The following is a 12940-nucleotide window of genomic DNA, read 5'->3' on the forward strand; positions in this document are numbered from 1 at the left end:
TTTGCATTTCTCTGATGGCCAGTGATGATGAGCATTTTTTCATGTGTTTTTTGGCTGCATAAATGTCTTCTTTTGAGAAGTGTCTGTTCATGTCCTTCGCCCACTTTTTGATGGGGTTGTTTGTTTTTTTCTTGTAAATTTGTTTGAGTTCATTGTAGATTCTGGATATTAGCCCTTTGTCAGATGAGTAGGTTGTGAAAATTTTCTCCCATTTTGTAGGTTGCCTGTTCACTCTCATGGTAGTTTCTTTTGCTGTGCAGAAGCTCTTTAGTTTAATTAGATCCCATTTGTCAATTTTGCCTTTTGTTGCCATTGCTTTTGGTGTTTTGGACATGAAGTCCTTGCCCATGCCTATGTCCTGAATGGTAATGCCTAGGTTTTCTTCTAGGGTTTTTATGGTTTTAGGTCTAACGTTTAAATCTTTAATCCATCTTGAATTGATTTTTGTATAAGGTGTAAGGAAGGGATCCAGTTTCCCCAGTACCATTTATTAAATAGGGAATCCTTTCCCCATTGCTTGTTTTTCTCAGGTTTGTCAAAGATCAGATAGTTGTGGGTATGTGGCATTATTTCTGAGGGCTCTGTTCTGTTCCATTGATCTATATCTCTGTTTTGGTACCAGTACCATGCTGTTTTGGTTACTGTAGCCTTGTAGTATAGTTTGAAGTCAGGTAGTGTGATGCCTCCAGCTTTGTTCTTTTGGCTTAGGATTGACTTGGCAATGCGGGCTCTTTTTTGGTTCCATATGAACTTTAAAGTAGTTTTTTCCAATTCTGTGAAGAAAGTCATTGGTAGCTTGATGGGGATGGCATTGAATCTGTAAATTACCTTGGGCAGTATGGCCATTTTCACGATATTGATTCTTCCTACCCATGAGCATGGAATGTTCTTCCATTTGTTTGTATCCTCTTTTATTTCCTTGAGCAGTGGTTTGTAGTTCTCCTTGAAGAGGTCCTTCACATCCCTTGTAAGTTGGATTCCTAGGTATTTTATTCTCTTTGAAGCAATTGTGAATGGGAGTTCACTCATGATTTGGCTCTCTGTTTGTCTGTTGTTGGTGTATAAGAATGCTTGTGATTTTTGTACATTGATTTTGTATCCTGAGACTTTGCTGAAGTTGCTTATCATCTTAAGGAGATTTTGGGCTGAGACAATGGGGTTTTCTAGATATACAATCATGTCGTCTGCAAACAGGGACAATTTGACTTCCTCTTTTCCTAATTGAATACCCTTTATTTCCTTCTCCTGCCTAATTGCCCTGGCCAGAACTTCCAACACTATGTTGAATAGGAGTGGTGAGAGAGGGCACCCCTGTCTGTGCCAGTTTTCAAAGGGAATGCTTCCAGTTTTTGCCCATTCAGTATGATATTGGCTGTGGGTTTGTCATAGATAGCTCTTATTATTTTGAAATACGTCCCATCAATACCTAATTTATTGAGAGTTTTTAGCATGAAGGGTTGTTGAATTTTGTCAAAGGCTTTTTCTGCATCTATTGAGATAATCATGTGGTTTTTGTCTTTGGCTCTGTTTATATGCTGGATTACATTTATTGATTTGCGTATATTGAACCAGCCTTGCATCCCAGGGATGAAGCCCACTTGATCATGGTGGATAAGCTTTTTGATGTGCTGCTGGATTCGGTTTGCCAGTATTTTATTGAGGATTTTTGCATCAATGTTCATCAAGGATATTGGTCTAAAATTCTCTTTTTTGGTTGTGTCTCTGCCCGGCTTTGGTATCAGAAGGATGCTGGCCTCATAAAATGAGTTAGGGAGGATTCCCTCTTTTTCTATTGATTGGAATAGTTTCAGAAGGAATGGTACCAGTTCTTCCTTGTACCTGTGGTAGAATTCGGCTGTGGATCCATCTGGTCCTGGACTCTTTTTGGTTGGTAAACTACTGATTATTGCCACAATTTCAGCTCCTGTTATTGGTCTATTCAGAGATTCAACTTCTTCCTGGTTTAGTCTTGGGAGAGTGTATGTGTCGAGGAATTTATCCATTTCTTCTAGATTTTCTAGTTTATTTGCATAGAGGTGTTTGTAGTATTCTCTGATGGTAGTTTGTATTTCTGTGGGATCGGTGGTGATATCCCCTTTATCATTTTTTATTGTGTCTATTTGATTCTTCTCTCTTTTTTTCTTTATTAGTCTTGCTAGCGGTCTATCAATTTTGTTGATCCTTTCAAAAAACCAGCTCCTGGATTCATTGATTTTTTGAAGGGTTTTTTGTGTCTCTATTTCCTTCAGTTCTGCTCTGATTTTAGTTATTTCTTGCCTTCTGCTAGCTTTTGAATGTGTTTGCTCTTGCTTTTCTAGTTCTTTTAATTGTGATGTTAGGGTGTCAATTTTGGATCTTTCCTGCTTTCTCTTGTGGGCATTTAGTGCTATAAATTTCCCTCTACACACTGCCTTGAATGCGTCCCAGAGATTCTGGTATGTTGTGTCTTTGTTCTCGTTGGTTTCAAAGAACATCTTTATTTCTGCCTTCATTTCGTTATGTATCCAGTAGTCATTCAGGAGCAGGTTGTTCAGTTTCCATGTAGTTGAGCGGCTTTGAGTGAGATTCTTAATCCTGAGTTCTAGTTTGATTGCACTGTGGTCTGAGAGATAGTTTGTTATAATTTCTGTTCTTTTACATTTGCTGAGGAGAGCTTTACTTCCAACTATGTGGTCAATTTTGGAATAGGTGTGGTGTGGTGCTGAAAAAAATGTATATTCTGTTGATTTGGGGTGGAGAGTTCTGTAGATGTCTATTAGGTCCGCTTGGTGCAGAGCTGAGTTCAATTCCTGGGTATCCTTGTTGACTTTCTGTCTCGTTGATCTGTCTAATGTTGACGGTGGGGTGTTAAAGTCTCCCATTATTAATGTGTGGGAGTCTAAGTCTCTTTGTAGGTCACTCAGGACTTGCTTTATGAATCTGGGTGCTCCTGTATTGGGTGCATATATATTTAGGATAATTAGCTCTTCTTGTTGAATTGATCCCTTTACCATTATGTAATGGCCTTCTTTGTCTCTTTTGATCCTTGTTGGTTTAAAGTCTGTTTTATCAGAGACTAGGATTGCAACCCTTGCCTTTTTTTGTTTTCCATTTGCTTGGTAGATCTTCCTCCATCTTTTTATTTTGAGCCTATGTGTGTCTCTGCACGTGAGATGGGTTTCCTGAATACAGCACACTGATGGGTCTTGACTCTTTATCCAATTTGCCAGTCTGTGTCTTTTAATTGGAGAATTTAGTCCATTTACATTTAAAGTTAATATTGTTATGTGTGAATTTGATCCTGTTATTATGATGTTAGCTGGTGATTTTGCTCATTAGTTGATGCAGTTTCTTCCTAGTCTCGATGGTCTTTACATTTTGGCATGATTTTGCAGCGGCTGGTACCGGTTGTTCCTTTCCATGTTTAGCGCTTCCTTCAGGAGCTCTTGTAGGGCAGGCCTGGTGATGACAAAATCTCTCAGCATTTGCTTGTCTGTAAAGTATTTTATTTCTCCTTCACTTATGAAACTTAGTTTGGCTGGATATGAAATTCTGGGTTGAAAATTCTTTTCTTTAAGAATGTTGAATATTGGCCCCCACTCTCTTCTGGCTTGTAGGGTTTCTGCTGAGAGATCCGCTGTTAGTCTGATGGGCTTCCCTTTGAGGGTAACCCGACCTTTCTCTCTGGCTGCCCTTAACATTTTTTCCTTCATTTCAACTTTGGTGAATCTGACAATTATGTGTCTTAGGGTTGCTCTTCTCGAGGAGTATCTTTGTGGCATTCTCTGTATTTCCTGAATCTGAATGTTGGCCTGCCTTGCTAGATTGGGGAAGTTCTCCTGGATAATATCCTGCAGAGTGTTTTCCAACTTGGTTCCATTCTCCCCATCACTTTCAGGTACACCAATCAGACGTAGATTTGGTCTTTTCACATAGTCCCATATTTCTTGGAGGCTTTGCTCATTTCTTTTTATTCTTTTTTCTCTAAACTTCCCTTCTCGCTTCATTTCATTCATTTCATCTTCCATTGCTGATACCCTTTCTTCCAGTTGATCGCATCAGCTCCTGAGGCTTCTGCATTCTTCACGTAGTTCTCGAGCCTTGGTTTTCAGCTCCATCAGCTCCTTTAAGCACTTCTCTGTATTGGTTATTCTAGTTATACATTCTTCTAAATTTTTTTCAAAGTTGTCAACTTCTTTGCCTTTGGTTTGAATGTCCTCCCGTAGCTCAGAGTAATTTGATCGTCTGAAGCCTTCTCTCAGCTCGTCAAAGTCATTCTCCATCCAGCTTTGTTCCGTTGCTGGTGAGGAACTGCGTTCCTTTGGAGGAGGAGAGATGCTCTGCGTTTTAGAGTTTCCAGTTTTTCTGTTCTGTTTTTTCCCCATCTTTGTGGTTTTATCTACTTTTGGTCTTTGATGATGGTGATGTACAGATGGGTTTTTGGTGTGGATGTCCTTTCTGTTTGTTAGTTTTCCTTCTAACAGACAGGACCCTCAGCTGCAGGTCTGTTGGAATACCCTGCCGTGTGAGGTGTCAGTGTGCCCCTGCTGGGGGGTGCCTCCCAGTTAGGCTGCTCGGGGGTCAGGGGTCAGGGACCCACTTGAGGAGGCAGTCTGCCGGTTCTCAGATCTCCAGCTGCGTGCTGGGAGAACCACTGCTCTCTTCAAAGCTGTCAGACAGGGACATTTAAGTCTGCAGAGGTTACTGCTGTCTTTTTGTTTGTCTGTGCCCTGCCCCCAGAGGTGGAGCCTACAGAGGCAGGCAGACCTCCTTGAGCTGTGGTGGGCTCCACCCAGTTCGAGCTTCCCGGCTGCTTTGTTTACCTAAGCAAGCCTGGGCAATGGTGGGCGCCCCTCCCCCAGCCTCGCTGCTGCCTTGCAGTTTGATCTCAGACTGCTGTGCTAGCCATCAGCGAGATTCCGTGGGCGTAGGACCCTCCGAGCCAGGTGTGGGATATAGTCTCGTGGTGCGCCATTTTTTAAGCCGGTCTGAAAAGCGCAATATTCGGGTGGGAGTGACCCGATTTTCCAGGTGCGTCCGTCACCCCTTTCTTTGACTCGGAAAGGGAACTCCCTGACCCCTTGCGCTTCCCAGGTGAGGCAATGCCTCGCCCTACTTCGGCTCGCGCACGGTGCGCGCACCAACTGGCCTGCGCCCACTGTCTGGCACTCCCTAGTGAGATGAACCCGGTACCTCAGATGGAAATGCAGAAATCACCCGTCTTCTGTGTCGCTCACGCTGGGAGCTGTAGACCGGAGCTGTTCCTATTCGGCCATCTTGGCTCCTCCCCTCAATGTCATTCTTAATTCCTCTCTCTCATACCCTGCATCGAATCCATCAGAAATCCTATTGACTCTAGCCTCATGATATATGTAGACTCCATCCACTTCTCACCTCTGTCACCACTATCACCCTGTACAAGCCACTGTCATCTCTCTTGTGCCTCCGAATTGGTCTCTGTGATTCTGCCCATAGCTCCCTTCAGTCTGTTCTCAAAAAAGCATCCAAAGTAACACTTTCAAAATGTTAAGTCACTTCATCCACTCTCCTCATCAAAACTCTCCATGGCTTCAACCTCTCTCTCAGTAAGAGTCAAAATCCTTGCAATGCCCTCCAAGGGCCACCGTGGTATGAATTCCAGTCCCTCTCTGACCTTATCTCCTATGACTTTCTGCAATGCTTACTCTGCTTCAGCTACACGAGCCTGAGGTTGTCTATCTCCACAATTAGATAATCTGTTACAGGAATAGCTGGGCTCCTTCCTCTCCAATCTCACACTTTTAATATATTGTTCTTGCCTGTCTAGACTAATTCAGCCCTCCAATACAATGATGAATAGAGGCAGTGGTAGATGACATAGCAAAAGCTTTTGGTGTGTTATTAGAAAATATGATTGGATATTTGCTATAGCTTCTTTCCCCCCTAGATACTCTTAATCAAGAAGTTACATTCTATTCATGCTTTAATAAATGTTTGTTTAAAAAATCATGAATGGCTGGGAGCAGTGGCTCATGCCTGCAATCCCAACACTTTGGGAGGCTGAGGCGGGCAGATCACCTAAGGTCAGGAGGTGGACACCAGCCTGGCCAACATGGTGAAACCTCATCTCTACTAAAAATACAAAAATTAGCTGGGTGTGGTGGTGGGCACCTGTAATCCCAGACAATGCAAATCAGGGCTGCAAATCTCACAGGGGCCTTCCAATGGCCATAACCTCTCAGACAGGTTTTTTTCTCTCTTTTTCTTTTCCTACTCACTTAACAAGACGACTTTGTTGTATTCCTTGGGGATATGTGTGAGTGTGTATGGATTTACCTCTGATTAATCTTTATCGTAAGGGTAGAGCCCTCAGGGGTTCTGGTGTATGGTGGGGCACACCATCTATATTCTCACTACCTGGGTAGACTCAGGGCCATAACTCTTCATTAGTCCACCAAATTCAAAGTCTAAGTTTGCAGGAATTTGTAAATCTCTTCAGGTCAAAAGGACTTTGGTACTGTGTGCCCTCTTTACCTCTCCAAGTATATTAGCCTGTTTGCATGCTGCTAATAAAGACATACCTGAGACTGGGTAATTTATAAAGGAAAGAGATTTAATTGACTCACAGTTCCACATGGCTGGGGGAGGCCTTACAATCATGGCTGAAAGCAAATGAGGAGCAAAGTCACATCTTACATGGTAGCAGGCAAGAGAGCTTATGCAGGGGAACTCCTTTTATAAAACCATCAGATCTTGTGAGACTTATTCACTATCACCAGAACAGCACGGGAAAGGCCTGCCCCCATGATTAAATTACCTCCTACCAGGTACCTCCCACAACACATGGGGATTATGGGAGCTACAATTCAAGGTGAGATTTAGTTGGGGACACAGCCAAACCATATCACCAAGGTTTTGTTTTCCCTTAGAGTTTGGCCTGGTTGTTTCTATTAGCTTTTCAGGTTATCAATTTAAAAAATAATTTATCTAAGTATTTTGTTAAATTATTCTCAGCAGCAAACTGAAGCCACAATTGGAAATGGAAGTCCCTTGGATACTGTGTTCTACGGATGATGTTCATCATATCATTACTCATCCAGTTGCCCTATGTGTAACTCTTGACTATACACACTTCCTCCTATTTCACAGCCAATCCTTCACAAACTCCCACTGGTTTCATTCATAATTTGCCACTGTTTTCTTCATACTTGTGGCCACTTTTCTAATCCAGACCCTCATCATCACATTTCAGCTTTTAAAATAGCCTCTTATCAACATATCACTTGGCCAAAAATCTTACATTTTCCAGTATATTCCCCATATGATCTTTCTAAAATACAAATATGATTATGTTAATAATCTTTTAATGGCATGATGAAATTCTTTAGCTTGACTCAAATGGAAAACTGGGTTCAGTTTACCTGCTTGGTCTTATCATCAATAAGTCATCCCTAGGAAATTTAGCTATAGTATACTACATGTGCCCTATATTTCAACACAACATCTTAATTCCTCTACATGGAATGTTCCCTTATAGTCTTATCTTGATCTTCATGTATTAAAGATTTAACACTGTCAATTTCAAATGTATTCTACTTTGGCACTTCAGTTGATTCCTTCTCATGTTCCTTATAGTTCATTTTTGTATATTTACATATCTTGTATTCTTTTAGAGCATTGACTCAATATGATATATTTGTACTATTTATATTTTATCACAGAAAGAACTTTGTTTATTGAATACTTTCAGCCTAAAATTCCTGCTCTGTGTGAATATGAACATTACTGCCTCTGCTTTCTCTCCCAGTGTGTTTCACATACTTGTTCAAATCTTTATTTATATTTTTTTCTCTCCACTTTAGCTTTAAGTTTTTCACTCCTGGCAATATATTTCAAGATTTTAAAATCCAAAATAAGACTCTGTCTTTAATGGAGAAATGTAGATTACCTCGGATATCTGCTCATTCCCTCATCTGCTTCAAGGCCGCTCACCCAGACCACAATACATGCTACACCACACAACGCAACACACACTTCACCTGGCACTTCCCATTCACCTATCTTGCTTTTTTTTTTTTTCCTGTGTAGCATTTATCTTACATACAGCCTATTTTGGTTTATTTGTTAATTATCAGTGTCTTCTGACAAGTGTGTAAGTTCCACAGGAAAAGAGACTGCTGTACCCTTAGTGATTGGAACAGTACCTGGCATATACGAGGTACTCAATAAATGCTGCTGAATAAATGAACATTTATGGTGATAACTGTAGACCAGCTCTACTTTTGGTTATTCTATTTTATGCTTTGTACATTTTCTGCTATGTCTTTTCTCTCTTTCATGTCTATTTTTATGGGTTATTCTGTTTCCTTTGCTTTAATACATATACACAAACTTAAATGTATACATATATGTGTGTGTGTGTGTGTGTGTGTGTGTGTGTAGAGATTGTTGCCCCGGCTGGTCTTGAACTCCTGCGCTCAAGTGATGCTCCCGCCTTGGCCTCCCAAAGTTCTGGAATTACAAGCATGAGCCACCACATCTAGCCTTCTTTTGCTTTTTAAGACTTGTATTGTACACACTTTTTTTTTTTTTTGAGACAGAGTTTTGCCTGTCACCCAGGCTGGAGTGCAGTGGCACGAACTTGGCTCACTGTAACCTCCACCTCCTGGGTTCAAGCGATTCTCCTGCCTCAGCCTCCCAAGTAGCTGGGATTACAGACGCCCGCCAGCATGCACATTTAAAAAAATTCCATGAATGATCACAATAAAGGATTCCAAAAAAATTCCTAACTCCATGTAAAGTTATACTCAGATAAAGAGATAGTATTTTGGATTGCCTTTTAGGGATGGCAAAACCTTGGCTTTTTAGTTTTAACTTTTTGTTATTCCTCTTGTCTTTTAAATTCTTGATTATTTTATCATGTGGTTCTGAGAGACTCTCACTGTGTTTTTATTTTTTGTGTCAATAATATTTATAATTATTTCCTCTGAATCACATGTAGTCAGGCTTTTTCTTATGCTCCCGTGAGCTTTTCAGTAGCAAAACTTTGCTGTTGTAATTGCTAAGGTTCAATATGCCATATTTTGTGGATAAATATGGCAAGAAATGCATGTTTCACATGTTAACAGCTTGGGAATTGAGACACGTCTTATAATTGATGTGTCTTACAATCATTGTCAGCCAGAGGGCACTGAAACCATAGTGGTCAATTGCCTACCCATGCATGTACTTTGTCTCAGTTATTTATAACTTTATAAATATTTATAAATCAGTTATTTATAACTTTTATAAAGTGTCATCACTTTAACTGAGCTTCCTAGATCATTGGTGCAATACATGTTGAGTTTTATTGCTGCTTAAAATGCTTTCAAACAAAGTTATTGTGTGTGCAGAGAAGAAAATAAAGCAATAGGACATATGTTTATCAGTAAAACCAGTGTCACGGAAGGAATCACCATAATTTGTTGTAGAAGAATTCTATGTTTTTCTTTTAGAAAATGAATACGAATATGAATAATGAGTTGAGTTGGTTCCAAATTCTTAGGTGAAACTAATTTTTTTGGAGGTTCTATATTAGAATATGCAACAGGCATTGTTGCAGCAGAAGAATCCAAGGCTGGCTTGATTTTTGTTTCTTTAAAATTGACTTACATTTCCCATTTCGAAGAGTGTTTCTGCTTTTAGTGTTGGTTTGTTTTGCTTTTAGTTAAAAAAATTAATGTCATTATTGATTTTGGTTTCCTCTGTTCTTTCTGTTTTTTGTATTTATCCATCCATCCATCCATCCACCCACCCATTTCTATCAGAGGGCTATACTATGCCAGAAACTGTAGATAAAAGAGAGAAACATACAGCCACAATTTTTGTTCATCACTAGAAATCCCTACAATTTTGCAGTTCCTGAATCTTTAGCATCTATATTTATTATTTTAGATTTTCTCCACTTATTTGTTCATTTTACATCTGGGTATGTTTCTATAGTTTATATTTATAATTTTTAATATTCTATAATTTTTATTGACAATTTAGTTTTCTTAGGTGTTATTTTTACTGTTTCCAACATTATCTTGCTAGGTCTATTTTGGTTTTTATTTCACAATATGTGCTGTTTATTCTCTATTTGGCCATTCCTCCAGATCCACTCTCAGACTTTCTCTTTCCTGTTTGGTGCAATGGAAGACTGATTTCTATGAATTGCAATCTTTGTGCTGTTTCCAGTTGACTCCTGATTGGGCTTGGCAAATGAAATGCAGCAGCAGGAGTTAAGAAAGGAGAAGGAGACAGAAGTTAAGGTAGTTTTCATCCTCTTTCTTCTTGCTTTGGTGGTGTGGTTTTGTGGTGGCTGTGAGCTTCCTAGATTACACCTCTTAAAGGGTGGTCCCTACTCCATTCCAGCTTTGACTGGGCTTTAGTAATGCCATCTATCTATCTTATCCCCCCTCTAAGCAAAGAGACTGTAACATCTTTCTTCCATTGCTAGTCTCTGGATATTTTACTATCACTGTTGCTCCCTTTAACTATGTCTGCCCTCTGCAAATAGTCCCCTTGTAAAGCTTCTTCAGGTAAAACACCTGAGAGGAATTACGTTTCCTGCATGGTCCAAAACTGATATAGTGTTTTTACCTACAGTGTCCCTAAGGCATAGAATATAGTGGTGGGATTCTGGGACTGAGTTGCTTACACACTTAATGAGTGAACAGATGACCACTTATGCCTGGCAAACCATAGCAAGCAAGGGCTTCACAATTACTCAAATTATCTCTGTGGCGAGTGTGGGATGCAGTGTCTGTGGAGGGCAAGACTTGAGGTGGTCCATTGGAGTAGCTGCAGTTGATTACAGTGACAACCATAATTTTTACAAAGATTGTGGGGTGGCATGACTTCTATGGATATATTGGAGAGCTTACAAAAGCAGAAAGAAAAGCTTGGGATGAATATTCAATTCAAGGCCAGAGTAGAGGCTCTGGTAGTCATACAGGGAAAAAAATGAACCTCACTTCATGACATATACAAAATTAGAGATTTTACTTTGATCTGTATATAAAATCTAAAACAACCAATTTCCAGAAAACAGGAGAATATCTTCATAGCTTTGGGATAGGCAAAGAATTCTTAAATAGAATACAAGAAGTAAAAAGTGCTAACCATAAAAGGAAAGATTGGTCAATTGAGCTTTCAAAAATTAATAATTTTTGTTCAAAAGATACCATGAAGAAGATAAATAAGACAAGCCACTAATTACAAGAAGATATTTCCAAGACATATTTCTAACAAAAAATCATATCCGTAATACATTAAAATCTTATAGAAATCAGTAAGAAAAGTAACTCAAATCAAAACTTCATTCAAAAAAGACTTGAAAAGAATTTACAAAAAAGGATATAAAAATGAACACATGAAAATATACTTAACATTATTACTCATGCAAACTAAATCTTCAGTGAAATACCATTAGGCTGGGCACAGTGGCTCATGCCTGTAATCCCAACATTTTGGGAGGCCTACATGGGCAGATCATTTGAGGTCAGGAGTTTGAGACCAGCCTGGCCAACAAGGTGAAACCCTGTCTCTACTAACAATACAAAAAAAAAAAAAAAAATTAGCTGGGCATGGTGGCGGGTATCTGTAATCCCAGCTACTCGGGAGGCTGAGGCAGGAGAATCGCTTGAACCCGGGAGGCGGAGGTTGCAGTGAGCTGAGATCATACCACTGCACCCCAGTCTGAGCAACAGAGCAAGACTCTGTCTCAAAAAAAAAAAAAAAAAAAAAAAAAAAAAAAAAAAGAAATGCAGCAAGAGGCAAGAGGGAGCTTTCTGGAATACTGGAAACGTTCAACATTGTGCTCCTAACAATATTCACAATTACTTTCATTTATTTCACAATCATATAAAGTCTGATCACCAGAATCTTAGGTTGACACAGCTGCTGTCTCAACACATGATTCAGACATACAAACCACATGGATTAATCTTGATACTGACATAAGTTAAACAAAAGCTTTATTGACAGAATAGAGAATAAATAAACTGAGTGGTGAAGATCTGGAGAAATAGCATCAGGATTTTGTGGTCTGTCCTTATTCTCAAACAAGGAAGGACCAATAGAGGAGATTGTATAACTGTAAAACTGCTTTTGCTGGTGAACATCAAGGACAAAATATTGAGGCCTGCAAAACCATGCTTTTTGAAGTTATATCAGAAACTTCGTCATTTAAAATCGTATCAGAGACTGAAGATCAGAAGAAACTGGAGATCAGAAGAAATTTTAAACTATACAATAAAAAATGCTGTGTGTTAAAAACAACAAACAAAAAAACACAGCCTCTGTCTTGTCTTGGTGACAGTGTTTTTCTAATTTCTGTTAGACCTAATAAGATATCTCCAAGTCTACCTCAATCTCAAAAGTTACCCAATAATCTATAATAGTTCATTGTTGAGGCAATATTGAGAGAAGGAAGGTAAATCAACAAAATCCTGAAGGCTCTCGGTTATACCCTTCTAACAAGTAAGAAGGTGTATTGGTCCCTTTTCATGCTGCTGATCAAGACATGCCCGAGACTGGGCAATTTACAAAAGAAAGACATTTAATTAGACTTACAGTTCCACATGGCTGGGGAAGATCTCACAATCATGGCAGAGGGTGGAAGGCACTTCTTACATGGTTGCAGCAAGAGAGAAATGAGGAGGAAGCAAAAGCGGAAACCCCTTATAAACCCATAAGATCTTGTGAGACTTATTCACTATCATGAGAATAGCACAGGAAAAACCAGCCCCCATGATTTGATTACCTCCCCCTGGGTCCCTCCCACATGTGGGAATTCTGGGAGATACAACTCAAGTTGAGATTTGGGTTGGGACACAGCCAAACCATATAAGAAGGTGACAGTGGATGAGAAGATATCAAAAGGAAAAGTAAAGGGAAAAATCAAGCCCTCATAAGTGAAGCCAGGTTTACCACTTTCCAAGGCACTTTACTGAGTTGA

The 12940-nt window shown here is 39.7% G+C and overlaps 1 protein-coding gene across 1 annotated transcript in view, besides 2 other annotated features; it reads right to left on the reverse strand.

The window, feature by feature from the left end:
• Nucleotides 1–12940, reverse strand: part of CATSPERB (catsper channel auxiliary subunit beta) — a 151389-nt gene that overhangs the window by 60267 nt on the left and 78182 nt on the right. The gene's annotated exons all lie outside the window — the stretch shown is intronic.
• Nucleotides 4396–4990: an enhancer, noted in NCBI's record as "H3K27ac-H3K4me1 hESC enhancer chr14:92111704-92112298 (GRCh37/hg19 assembly coordinates)". NCBI's record gives its function as "activates a minimal SCP1, AML or CMV promoter by ChIP-STARR-seq in naive and primed H9 embryonic stem cells {active_cell/tissue: H9 hESC(naive and primed)}" and the evidence as "EXISTENCE:reporter gene assay evidence [ECO:0000049][PMID:30033119]".
• Nucleotides 4991–5583: an enhancer, noted in NCBI's record as "H3K27ac-H3K4me1 hESC enhancer chr14:92112299-92112891 (GRCh37/hg19 assembly coordinates)". NCBI's record gives its function as "activates a minimal SCP1, AML or CMV promoter by ChIP-STARR-seq in primed H9 embryonic stem cells {active_cell/tissue: H9 hESC(primed)}" and the evidence as "EXISTENCE:reporter gene assay evidence [ECO:0000049][PMID:30033119]".

This window comes from Homo sapiens, chromosome 14 (genome assembly GCF_000001405.40).
Source record: "Homo sapiens chromosome 14, GRCh38.p14 Primary Assembly".
Taxonomy (NCBI): Eukaryota; Metazoa; Chordata; class Mammalia; order Primates; family Hominidae; genus Homo; species Homo sapiens.